The following is a 13,032-nucleotide window of genomic DNA, read 5'->3' on the forward strand; positions in this document are numbered from 1 at the left end:
TTTTTTTTTGAGATGGAGTCTCGCTCTGTTGCCCAGGCTGGAGTACAATGGCGTGATCTTGGCTCACTTCAACCTCCACCTCCCAGGTTCAAGCGATTCTCCTGCCTCAGTTTCCCAAGTAGCTGGGATTACAGATGCCTGCCACCACGCCTGGCTAATTTTTGTATTTTTAGTAGAGATGGGGTTTCACCATGTTGGCCAGGCTGGTCTTGATCTCCTGGCCTCAGGCAATCCGCCCGCCTCAGCCTCCCAAAGTGCTGGGATCACAGGCGTGAGCCACCGCACCCAGCCTGGATTACATGATTTCTAAAGTACTTTGGAAACCTGAAATTTCATTTTAACAGTTTAATGACTGGAACATTTTTTAGTTTATTATTTGCTTTGGTGCTGTCTCCAGATCATTTAAACCAATCCCTATTTGAGACTGTTGTTGGCATCCAGTGATGATTTTTAGTGACTGATAACCTTTAAGTAACAGCAGTAAGAATGAAGGCCCAGTAAGAGGTAATAAAGGAGTGATGAGGGAATGAAGAAAGAAATCCATTAGCAAGCATACAGAATAATAGTGTCATATAGAAAATGAAGATCCTGCATACACTGAATTTTGATACTAGATCAAAATGAGGTCCTTTTCACTGCATTTATGTCAATGCTACTCCACTTCTGTAGTTGTTTTGGTGTATTGCTTTTATTTACATGGAGGTTAAGTGTTAGAAGCAGTTAAGAGACACTGCCACACTGAATGAGAGTTGAGCGTGTCCCCCTGGGAGATTGAGAATTCAGTGGTCTCTTTCTCCTCACTCCATGTGGCTTCTTTGTTGCCTTCCTCCTTCTATAAATTACATAGTCATAATGGGGCAACTTTCCACTAATGATTGCCTTACTACTTGAGTTGATTCCCAGACTCCCTCACCTTCCTTATTCTGGTCTTCACATGTCTTTGCTAACTGTAAAGTAAATGGTTTAGACTTAGTCTGTAGCCTGCTCAATAATGAGAGAAAAGCTGCCTCCCTGGAAGTTTTAACTTGTTCATACCTGCTTGGGTTAATATTTGAAAAGTAGCTCTGGCTATTGTGGGTTTGGGCCCAGGAGAAACAAATTATTACTAATCATGTTCCATTCAAGGGAAACAACTCAGTCTCAGGTTCAGCAGCACGCTGTGTGATGGCACCAAATTGAATACTTCATCCATGATACATCTGTTACTATTAAGGTGTGTGGTAGGAATGTGATGGAGCCTACTTGTTTATACTCAACAAAGAATTTTTCTTTTTGACTGAAAATATTATTAGTGCCATAATTTTTATCTTTCTTTAGTTTACCTATGCTGTATTTTCCATCATTTTCTTCCCATTTCTCCAATTATGTTAGCAACACCAGTCTATCATCTTATTTAGTGATACTTTTACTTCCATTAAGTAATTTTAGGGTAGCTAATGGCACTGAATTTTGTGGAGCTATGTTTAAATTTGGCAGTGAATTGGTTAAACTAGGCATCCATGGCCTGTAGGAAATCTATCCCCAAGGGTCTTAACATTAAATAGGTAAATGATTTAACTTTGCTTCTGTAAAAGTGGCGTGTTTATTTCTTAAGCTTGTCGTCATATACTTACCAAGGTTCCCATTGTGCATTTAGAACAAAGTGCATCAGTTCTGCAGCAAAACTTGTTCAGATGACTATAAGAAGTTGCATTGCATAGTTACATATTGCGAATACTGTCAAGAGGAGAAGACTCTTCATGAAACAGTAAATTTCTCTGGCGTTAAGAGACCTTTCTGTAGTGAAGGCAAGTTGCATATACAGTGTTGTTCATAACATTTATTGATATTTAATGTTTTTTGCCAAAATAATATATCCAGAGTGGCTGCACAATTTTAATGTAGCTGAACAAAAAAAATTGAGTTTACGTTTCTACTGACTTGTTTCGTTATTTTATATGTGTTTGTAGATCTGGGCTTCAAGATGGTTTTATCTCTAAAAATTTGGTAACCTCTTATTTCATTAAAGTTTTAGAATAAAATAAAAGCATTTTCATGCCATGTTATTTCTAAACCTACATGTTGTGGTCTGAAAGTTGGTTTTCCAAGTGGTTTAAAATTGTTTTCCATTAGCTCCATTTTCCCTGCCCAGCTTACTACCTAACCTGCAAAGGTTTTCAATATGTATACCAGAAAGAAAATCACATATGGCAGTACTAAAATGGGAAGATACTTTTAGGTATTCAATTTGGGGTGCCAGGGAGACACTGGGTTCTGTTTTAGTATGTTCAAGAATTCCCTTTCCTCTTATCTACACTTTTGCTGCTCTGGTGCCAGGCAGCAGATTATACAGATGAATTCAAATTCTAAATCTACTTATCCAGAGATAGGAACTAGGATTGTAGCTATGGGTTTTGGGGTTGTGTTATTCCTGTTCCCAATGTGACATTCTTGCTCTAAGCTGGCTTTCACTTTCTATCTTTCTTTGGTCCATGGCACTGAACTCCCAGCTTTCCTGTCTGCTATCTTCACCTATAATTTTTTAATGAGGAATATTTTTTTCTGGATCTGCTTTTTCTATGGATTCCTGACTGCTAGTTTGGAGTAAGAGAAAGGTGGGAAAATCCTAAATGTCAGCAGTAGAGAATGACAGCAAAATAAAAAGATTTATCAGTTCGTTCAACTAGTGCGTTCATTTACAGTCTTAACATGTAATGTAAAGTCATGTCCGTAAGAGGGTGCTGCTTGCTTATAAAACAAGGCATTCCTATTTAAATTTAATTTTGTACATTTCACCTGGAATGGAAAGTAACCATGTTTCGCTGTTATTTAAGAGTAAAGCTATAATGAAAAATGACAAATCTTACAATGTTTCATTGAAAAGATTGATTCTGAATTAGTCTTTTTACATTTGAGTTGTGCAATGACATTCTTACTGATTCATAAATCTGAACATGCTGATGTTGATTGCTCATATATGTCATTAATTGTCTACCATTTGGATTATATGGACTTTACTAAAATGAATAGACAATTAGCAGCAAATAGGTAATTGACATTCAAGAAGATAATTTTCAGTTGGAGGGATTTATACATTCAGATCGGTAATAGCATGTTGAAAAAGAATGTGTGGGTTTTTTTCCTGTTAAATGACATATTTTTTGCTTTCTCTTACTGCACCTAGTTCTCTGCTAGAACCTGTCAGAAATAACAAAACACATAATACCTAGTACGACCATCAAACTCTAGTTAGATAAAGCTAATAAAGGTAAATTTTAAAGAATATTTTAAAATATAGTTCAAGGTAACAGAAGTCATAGGATAGTACATAAATGATTGCTAAATAAATTTTATAGAAAACAATTGCAGTTCCTGTTTGCAGACAGGAAATGTCATTTTAAACTAGGTTGATCGTGGGCAGCATTTGTGGTAGGGGGATAATTTGAGGTCCTTATGAAAGGATGAATAGGATTTTAGTAGATAACATGTAAGTCATTCTACTTACATAGCACAGTATAAGTATAGAGTATTATGTGATCCTCGTAGAGGTGTTATAGGGAATAAATAAGGATATGTAAAAATACTTAATGCGTTTATGTAGTAGAAAAAAGACATACTTCGTTAAAGGACTAGATAACAAAAGTATTTTCTCTGGGCAAGTCAATAAATCTGTTTTTTTTTCTGAAGGTCCATGTAAGAGAGGTAAGCTTGAAAAATTAGCTAAAATGCCCACTTAAGTTGAATATCTCTATAAATTTACTCAGAGCCTCTCAGTAGTCTACATTGTTCCTTTTTCTAAAATGCCTATTTGTGGTATGCTTAGTTTGATACTTAAGATTCTATCTGTCTATTTCCCAGGCCCAAGCAAGATTCTGTTTAAATAGAACAAATAAAATAATTCTGAGACATTACTAGATTTTAATATCTTGAAACATTATTTTAACCCACATGTTAGATAATATGTTATCTAATAAAATATCCCATATTCTGTTCTAATTTTTATAGGTTGATATTGATTACAGTAGATTTTATAGTTTTGATCAGGAGAGGAAAAATCTTGACCAATTAAGATCTGTCTCTGCTCAATAATTAGTTTTCATGTGTTTTTTTGTTTTAATATATAAATCTTATATTTTTCAGGCTGCAAATTATTATACAAACAGGATTTTGCCAGACGTTTAGGATTGAGATGTGTTACTTGCAACTATTGTTCTCAGCTATGTAAGAAGGGAGCAACTAAAGAACTCGATGGTGTTGTGAGAGATTTCTGCAGTGAAGATTGCTGTAAAAAATTTCAGGATTGGTACTACAAGGCGAGTAACTCCTTTATTACAGCAGCTACTTTAACCAGTCTTAAAAAACGTTGTAGCTGTTACCATTACAAATCTGGCAACTCATTTATTTTAAAAATGTACACACTTAAGGCCCAGCCCTGATAATACTATTCATTAAAATTGTCTTGTCATTTCTGCTTGTTTGAAGTAGCATTTTTATCTCTTTTTTTAATAACTTAAGCATTACCAAAAGATTAGGATATACCTATATTTTCAGCATTGTAGTTTAACAAAATGGATTGTTTTTCTAAAATTTGTTGTGTCTTTATTTCACTAAGTAGAATTTTTTTTTTTTTTTTTTTTTTTTGAGATGAAATCTCTGTCGCCCAGGCTAGAGTGCAGTGGCACCATCTCGGCTCACTGCAGCCTCCACCTCCCAGGTTCAGGCAATTCTTGTGCCTCAGCCTCCCAAGTAGCTGGGATTACAGGCGCGTGCCACCACGCCCAGCTAATTTTTATTCTTTTAGTAGAGACAGGGTTTCACCGTGTTGGCCAGGTTGGTCTCGAACTCCTGACCTCAGGTGATCTGCCCGCCTCAGCCCCAAAGTGCTGAGATTACAGGCGTGAGCCACCAATGCCCAGCTAAATAGAAATACTTTCAACTATGTTATCAGTGTTGAATGTTAGCAGGTAATTGTTTTGGATACTTGAGATATATTTTAAAAACATCTTGCTCTTTTTTGGCTTTTTGCCTTTTTAATTGTGAGTTTTGGGGGACTTTAAAATTGAAAAGAACACTAAGTAGAGACCAGAAACATTTAATTTGAAACCATAAATGTGTGTATGTGTATGTGTCATACTAAACCCACTTTAAAAATTTAACTTTTAGGTTCAGGGGTACATGTGCAGGTTTTTTATATAGGTAAATTTAGGTCATGGTAAATGATGGGTAAATGACCAAACATGACCCAAATTTACCAAAGTAAAAATTTGGGTCATGTTGTACTGATTATTTTATCACCCAGATATTAAGCCTAGTACCCATTAGTTATTTTTCCTGATTCTTTCCCTCCTCCCACCCTCCACTCTTTCATAGGCCCCAGTGTCTGTTGTTCCCCTGTATGTGTTTGTGTTCTCATCATTTAGCTCCCACATATAAGTGAAAACATGCAGTATTTGCTTTTCTTTTCCTGTGTTAGTTTGCTAAGGATAATGGCCTCCAGTCCTATCCATGTTCCTGCAGGGTATATAATCTCTTTTTTATTGCTGCATAGTATTCCATGGTATATATGAACCACATTTTCTTTATCCACTCTACTATTGGTAGGCATTTAGGATGACTCTAGGTGTTTGCTGTTGTGAATAGTGCTGCAATGAACATATGTGTGCATGCTTTTTCTGTGCAGAAGCTCTTTAATTAAACCCCATTTGTCAGTTTTTGCTTTTGTTGCAGTTGCTTTTGGCATCTTAATCTTTGCTGGTTCCTATGTCCAGAATGGTATTGCCTAGGTTGGCTTCAGGGGTTTTTATAGTTTTGGGTTTTACATTTATTAATCCATCCTGAGTTAATTTTTGTATATGGTGTAAGGAAGGGGTCCAGTTTCAGTCTTCTCCATATGGTTAGCCAGTTATCCCAGCACCGTTGATTGAATAGGGAATCCTTTTCTCATTGCTTGTTTTTGTCAGGTTTGTTGAAGATCAGATAGTTGTAGGTGTGCGGCCTCATTTCTGGGCTCTCTATTCTGTTCCATTGGTCTATGTGTCTGCTTTTGTACCGGTACCATGCTGTTGTGGTTACTGTATCCCTGTAGTATAGTTTGAAGTCAGGTGGCATGATTCCTCCAGCTTTGTTCTTTTTGCATTTTGCTTAGGATGGCCTTGGCTATTTGGGCTCTTTTTTGGTTCCATAGGATTTTAAAAGTTTTTTTTTTTTTTGTTCTGTGAAGAATGTCATTGGTAGTTTAATGGGAATAGCATTGAATCTGTAAATGGCTTTGGGCAGTATGGCTATGTTAATGATATTGATTCTTTTTATCCATGAGCATGGAATGTTTTTCCATTTGTTTGTGTCATCTCTGATTTCTTTGAGCAGTATTTTGTAGTTCTTGTAGAGATTTTTCACCTCCCTGATTGGCTGTATTCCCAGGCATTTTATTCTTTTTGTGGCAATTTTCAATGAGATTGTGTATCTAATTTGGCCCTCAGCTTGATTGTTGTTGGCATACAGAAAAGCTAGTGATTTTTGTACATTGATTTTGTACCCTTTGCTGAAGTGGTTTATCAGCTGAGGGAACTTTTGGGCTGAGCCTATGGAGTTTTCTAGATATAGGATCATGTCATTTGTGAACAGGGAAAGTTTGACATCCTCTCTTCCTATTTGGATGCCCTTTATTTCTTTCTCTTTCGTGATTGCTCTGGCCAGGACTTCCAATACTGTGTTGAACAGGAGTGGTGAGAGAGGGCATCCTTGTCTTACACCAGTTTTCAAGGGGAATGCATGCTTCCAGCTTTTGCCTGTGCAGTATGATGTTCGCTGTGTGTTTGTCATAGATGACTCTTTATTATTTTGAGGTATATTTCTTCAATACCTAGTTTATTGAGAGTTTTTTTTTTTTTTTTTTGACATGGTGTCTCTCTCTGTTGCCCAGGCTGGAGTGCAGTGGCGCCATCTTGGCTCACTGCAAGCTCCGCCTCCCAGGTTCACGTCATTCTCCTGCCTCACCCTCCCGAGTAGCTGGGACTGCAGGCGCCCGCCACCATGCCCAGCTAATTTTTTTGTGTGTTTTTAGTAGAGATGGGATTTCACCATGTTAGCCAGGATGGTCTCGATTCCCTGATCTTGTGATCTGCCCATCTCAGCCTCCTAAAGTGCTGGGATTACAGGCGTGAGCCACCGTCCCCAGCCTATTGAGTTTTTAACATGAAGGATGTTGAATTTTATTGAAAGCCTTTTCTGCATCTATTGAGATAATCATGTGGTTTTTGTCTTTAGTTCTGTTTATGTGATGAATCACATTTATTGATTTGCGTATATTGAACCAAACTTGCCATCCCAGTGATAGAGCCTACTTGATCATGGTGAATAAGCCTTTTCGATGTGCTGCTGGATTTGGTTTGGCAGTATTTTGTTGAGGATTTTGGCGTTGATGTTCATTAAGGATATTGACTTGAAGTTTTCTTTTCTGGTTGTGTCTCTGCCAGGTTTTGGTATCAGGATGATGCTGGCCTCATAGAATGAGTTAGGGAGAAGTCCCCCCTCCTCAATTTTTTGGAATAGTTTCAGTAGGAATGATACCAGCTCTTCTTTGTACATCTGGTAGAATTGTGTTGTGAATCCATCTGGTCCTGGACTTTTTTTGGTTGGTAGGGTATTTATTACTGATTCAATTTCGGAGCTCATTGTTGGTTTGTTCAGGGCTTCAGTTTTTTCCTGGCTCAGTCTTGGGAGGGTGTATGTGTCCAGGAATTTGTCCATTTCTTCTAGATTTTCTAGTTCATGTGCACAGAGGTGTTCATTACAATCTCTGGTGGTTATTTGTATTTCTGTGAGGGTAGTGGTAATAATATCCCCTTTATTGTTTCTAATTGTGTTTATTTGGGTCTTCTCTCTTTTCTTTATTAGTCTAGCTAGCAGTCTGTCTATTAATCCCGCCCACCCCTGCACGCAAAAAAATAAAAAAACACTCCTGGATTTATTGATCTATTGAATGGTTTTTCATGTCTCAGTCTCCTTCAGTTCAGCTCTAATTTTGGTTATTTCTTGTCTTCTGCTAGCTTTGGGATTGGTTTTCTCTTGGTTCTCTAGTTCTTTTAGTTGTGATGTTAGGTTGTTAAATTGAGATCTTTCTAACTTTTTGATGTGGGCATTTAGTGCTATAAATTTCCCTCTCAACACTGCCTTAGCTGTGTACCAGAAATTCTGGTACGTTGTATCTTTGTTCTTATTGGTTTCAAAGAATTAACTGGTTTCTGCCTTAATCTCATTATTTACCCAAAAGTTGTTCAGAACAGGTTATTCAATTCCCATGTAATTGTAAGGTTTTGAATGGATTTCTTAGTCTTGACTTCTAATTTGATTGTACTGTGATCCAAGAGACTTTTGGTTATGATTTCAGTCCTTTTGCATTTACTGAGGAATGTTTTATATGTGATTATGTGATCAATTTTAAGAGTATGTGCCATGTGACAGTGAGAAGAATGTATATTCTGTTGTTTTGGGGTGTCCATTTGATTCTATGCTGAGTTCAGGTCCTGAATATCTTTATTAATTATCTGCTTTGATGATCTGTCTGATACTGTTATTGGAGCATTGTCTAGGAGTCTAAGTCTCTTTGTACATCTCTAAGAACTTCCTTTATGAATCTGGGTGCTCCTGTGTTGGGTGCATTTATATTTAGGATAGTTAGGTCTGATGGTTCAATTGAACCCTTTACCATTATGTAATGACCTTCTTTGTCTTTTTTGATCTTTGTTGGTTTAAAGTCTGTTTTGTCTGAGGCAACCCCTGCTTTTCTCTGGTTTCCATTTGCTTGGTAGATTTTTCTCCATCCCTTTATTTTGAGCCTATGTGTGTCATTGCATGTGAGATGAGTCTCTTGAAGATAGCATACCAATGGGTCTTGTTTCCTTATCCAAGCCACTGTGTACCTTTTAATTGGGGCATTTAGCCTGTTTACATTTAAGGTTAGTATTGATATGTGTGGGTTTGATCCTGTCATCATGATGTTAGCTGGTTATTTTGCAGACTTGTTTATGTGGTTGCTTTATAGTGTCACTTGTCTGTGTACTTAAGTGTGTTTTTGTAGTGGTTGTTAATGGTCTTTCCATATTTAGTGCTTCCTTCAAGAGCTCTTATAAAGCAGGTCTGGTGGTAACAAATACCTTCAGATTTTGCTTGTCTGAAAAGGATCTTATTTCTGCTTTACTTAATGATGCTTAGTTTGGTGGGATATGGAATTCTGGTTGGCAGGTGGCACTGGTGTTAAATTAAAAAAAAAGGGTTGAATATTGGCCCCCAATCTCTTCTGGCTTATAGGGTTTCTGCTGAGAGATCTGCTATTAGTCCGATGAGTTTCCGTTTGTAGGTGACCTGACCTTTCTCTCTAGCTGCCTTTTAACATTTTTTCTTTCATTTCAACCTTGGAGTATCTGATGATTATGTGCCTTGAGAATGATCTTTTTATGAAGTATCATACTGGGGTTCTCTACATTTCCTGAATTTGAATGTTGGCCTCTCTAGCTAGGTTGGGAAGTTCTCATGGATGATATCCAGAAATATGTTTTCCAAGTTGCTTATACTCTCCCCATCTCTTTCAGGGACACCAGTTGAGTTATAGATTTGGTCTCTTTACGTAATGCCATATTTCCTGGAGGTTTTGCTCGTTCCTTTTTATTCTTTTTCTCTGTATTCTTGTCTGTCTTATTTCACAAGGCCAGTCTACCAGCTCTGAGAGTCTTTCTTCCGCTTGGTCTATTTTGCTATTAATACTTATGATTGCCTTATGAAATTCTCGTAGTGTGTTTTTCAGCTCTATCAGGTCAGTTACATTCTTTTCTATACTGGGTATTTTGTCTGTAAGCTCCTGCTTACCTTGTTCCTTGGATTGAGTTTCAGTGTGCTCCTGCTTCTCAGTGATCTTCATGCCTTTCCATATTCTGAATTCTATTTCTGTTATTTCAGCCATCTCTGCCTGATTCAGAACCCTTACTGGAGAGGTAGTACAGTTATTTGGAAGAAAGAAGGCACTCTGGCTTTTTGAGTTGTCAGGGTTCTTGTGCGAGTTCTTTTTCATCTTTGTGGGCTTACATTCCTTCAACCTTTGAAGTTGCTGACCTTTGCTTTTTATTATTATTATTTTTTTTTATTTTTTTGAGATAGGGTCTTGCTATGTTGCCCAGACTGGAGTGCCGTGGCATGATCTTGGCTTACTGCAGCGTCCACCTGCCAGGTTCAAGTGATTGTCCTGCCTCAGCTTCCTGAGTAGTTGGGATTACAGGCACATGCCACAACACCCAGCTCATTTTTGTATTTCTAGTAGAGATGGGGTTTCACCATGTTGGCCAAACTGGTCTCGAACTCCTGACCTTAAGTGATCCACCTGCCTCTGCCTCCCAAAGTGCTGGAATTACAGACATGGACCACTGTGCCCAGCCAATTTTTTTTTCTTGTATCCTATATTTGATGACCTTGAGGGTTTAACTGTGGAATAAGGTGGATTCAGCCAAGTGACTGTGTTCTGGAAGGTTTTAAGGGACCGGTGCTAAGTTCCTAACTCCTGGACTGTGTGCTTTAACTCCGGGGTACTTATATCAGTCTCAACTTGATTCTGTCTCCTGGAGCGCAGGTATCCACTGTGCTGGGGAGACTGACGTGTTTGGGGCCGCTGATCACTACACTTGATGGATGGTGTCAGTCACAGCATTTGGTAGTGCGGTGACAGCAGGATCCATCCTCATTGGCATGTGCCAGCAGCAGTGCAGCGTGATGGGGTGCACACTTGTTGGCTGTGGTAGGGTGCTAGTTGGTGCTGGGGTGCCTGCCTCCCAGCCTGCACTTGCCACAGTGGTGGATGCAATGTGGCTAGGGGGTGGAGTGGGGAACCCCTGTTGGCTACTGTGCCTGTGGTTGCACTGGTGGTGGTGGTGGTGGCAGGGCGCTGGCAGGTGCAGGTCTTTGTGCATTCTCAGAGGGCTCTTGGTCGCTCAGGGAGGTGGAGTGTCCACTGTTCTGTGTGCCTAGTTTTGCTCTGGGCAGTGTTGCTGAAAGGGCCAGGTTGTGGTGGGGGCGGGGCTGACTGCTAAGGCTCCAACTGCAGTGTCGTTGGTGGGGCAAGGTGGGGGTGAAGTGCACTCCTGCTGCATGAGTGGCAGGGCAGGGTGCACACACACACGTGGGTGCTGGCTGGGTGAGGCAAGCAAAACCTGCCTGCACATGGCAAAGGGATGTGGGAAGTATCCATGGGCCCCAGGGGAAGCTGCAGTGTGGGGAGGGAATGGGTGGCACTGCTGCGTGTCTGTGGGGGCCACCCCACTGGGGGTCTCCAGTGGTCAAGTTCCGTCTGCCAGGGTAGAAGCTATGATGGGGGCTTCTAGGACACTCGAGGCTGACCTGAAAGCAGGTACTTTCACACTGGGACCCTGCAAGAGGCCAACAGATTAAGGGATGCTCAGGTCAGACTGGCCTCTTCTTATGGGCAAGACCTCCCCGCAGAGTTCAGATCTGACAGTTGCCCTAGGGTTAAAGTCTCCTATGGGAGCAAGTTGATTCTAGGTGGATGGTCATCCTTGGCTGTGCTCCACTACAGAGGCCCCTGCACCAAACCCTGTGGGCTCCAGATCAGCTGGCTTGCTGCCCCTACAACTTCTTTAAGCAGCTTTCCCTGCCAACTCAAGTGTCCCTGCTGGCTGAAGGGTTTCCTCCTGCTGAGATTCCAGAGGCCTGTGCCCAGAGCAGGTTGCTCTCTGCCAGTTCACCTAACTTGTGCCCTCAGCATATTAGGGGTCAAGAACAAGTCCCAGTGTGTGGTAGCCCCATGCAGCGTTCCCAGATTCCTTCTCCTTAAGCCAAGCTTCTCTCTGTCTTCCCTCCTCTACTCTTGGTGCTTTCCCTCTGAAGATCTCTTAGGAGTGCACCAGTACTCTCAGTCCCTCCGGGGCAGCTCTTCTACCTGGCTGCGTCTAGTCAGCCATCTTGCCCCAACATCTACTTTTATAAAGTCAGTCTCTTTTCACACATTGCATCAGTTTCTTCCTAGATAAGAAAATGAGTGTAAATTTGGACTTGTGGGTAGTCAGAAAGATTACAAGAAAAGAGCATTAATTCCTATGTTGATAACATGGAAAACCATCTCAATGCTGAAACTTCATTGTGGGTACAGTTGTAAAGCATGTGAAGACAGGCCAGGCGCGGCGGCTCACTCCTGTAATCCCAGCACTTTGGGAGGCCAAGGCGGGCAGATCACTTGAGGTCAGGAGTTCAAGACCAGCCTGGCCAACATGGTAAAACCCCGTCTCTACTAAAAATACAAAAATTAGCCATGCATGGTGGTGCATGCCTGTAATCTCAGCTACTCGGGAGGCTGAGGCAGGAAAATCACTTGAACCCGGGAGGCGGAGGTTGCAGTGAGGTAAGATGGCACCACTACACTCCAGCCCGGGCGACAGAGCAAGACTCTGTGTCAAAAAAAAAAAAAAAAAAAAAAAGCATGTGAAGACAGACATTATCATGACTTCAAATTTGTTAAGGCCTCTAAAGAAACAAATGAAATAGTCGAATATGGAGAACAGTATTTAGTTTACTTTATCAAGGTATTGGTATTAAAATGATACTACTAGGAGAATTGCAGGAGTTCTGGGGCAGTTCTTTAATATCTGCAATTCACCATGTTAACTAGCATATTGTAAATAAAAAAAGGAAGATGCTTTCCAAGTTAAGAGCTGTAAAGTAATTCCCAAGTTGTTAAGAGCTGTGAAGTAATTGAGACTAAGAGGTTTGATGTACTAAAAAAAGTTACTTCATTACTTTACTGTTGCTTCTATATGATGTAAACTTTAAAAATTAAGGCTCAAATTTTAGAAATACACAGAGGACAAACATACACTCTAAAACGTGTTTATTTCAGTCTAAACAAATGTTTTGTTTATGGATATTAGTGTTTTTGAGAAATCACTCAGAAAATGTTACTTCATGGCCTTGCAATGCTTGATGTTAGTTTAGCACATACAAGTGCACTTTTATACCCATTGTTTAGGAGGTTTTATTTTTAAAATTTTCTTTTGG

The 13,032-nt window shown here is 39.8% G+C and overlaps 1 protein-coding gene across 36 annotated transcripts in view; it reads left to right on the forward strand.

The window, feature by feature from the left end:
* Nucleotides 1-13,032, forward strand: part of ZMYM2 (zinc finger MYM-type containing 2) — a 225,276-nt gene that overhangs the window by 168,778 nt on the left and 43,466 nt on the right. For all 36 annotated transcript variants that reach the window (NR_148365.2, XM_047430584.1, XM_047430585.1 and 33 more), the window contains 2 exons: nucleotides 1,637-1,787; nucleotides 4,120-4,292. Coding sequence is in view for 35 of the 36 variants with exons in the window: in XM_047430584.1 (XP_047286540.1) it covers nucleotides 1,637-1,787; nucleotides 4,120-4,292 (324 nt within the window). In the remaining variant the exon portion in view is untranslated. The remainder of the gene's footprint in view (nucleotides 1-1,636; nucleotides 1,788-4,119; nucleotides 4,293-13,032) is intronic.

The sequence above is a fragment of the Homo sapiens genome, chromosome 13 (genome assembly GCF_000001405.40).
Source record: "Homo sapiens chromosome 13, GRCh38.p14 Primary Assembly".
Classification (NCBI taxonomy): domain Eukaryota; kingdom Metazoa; phylum Chordata; class Mammalia; order Primates; family Hominidae; genus Homo; species Homo sapiens.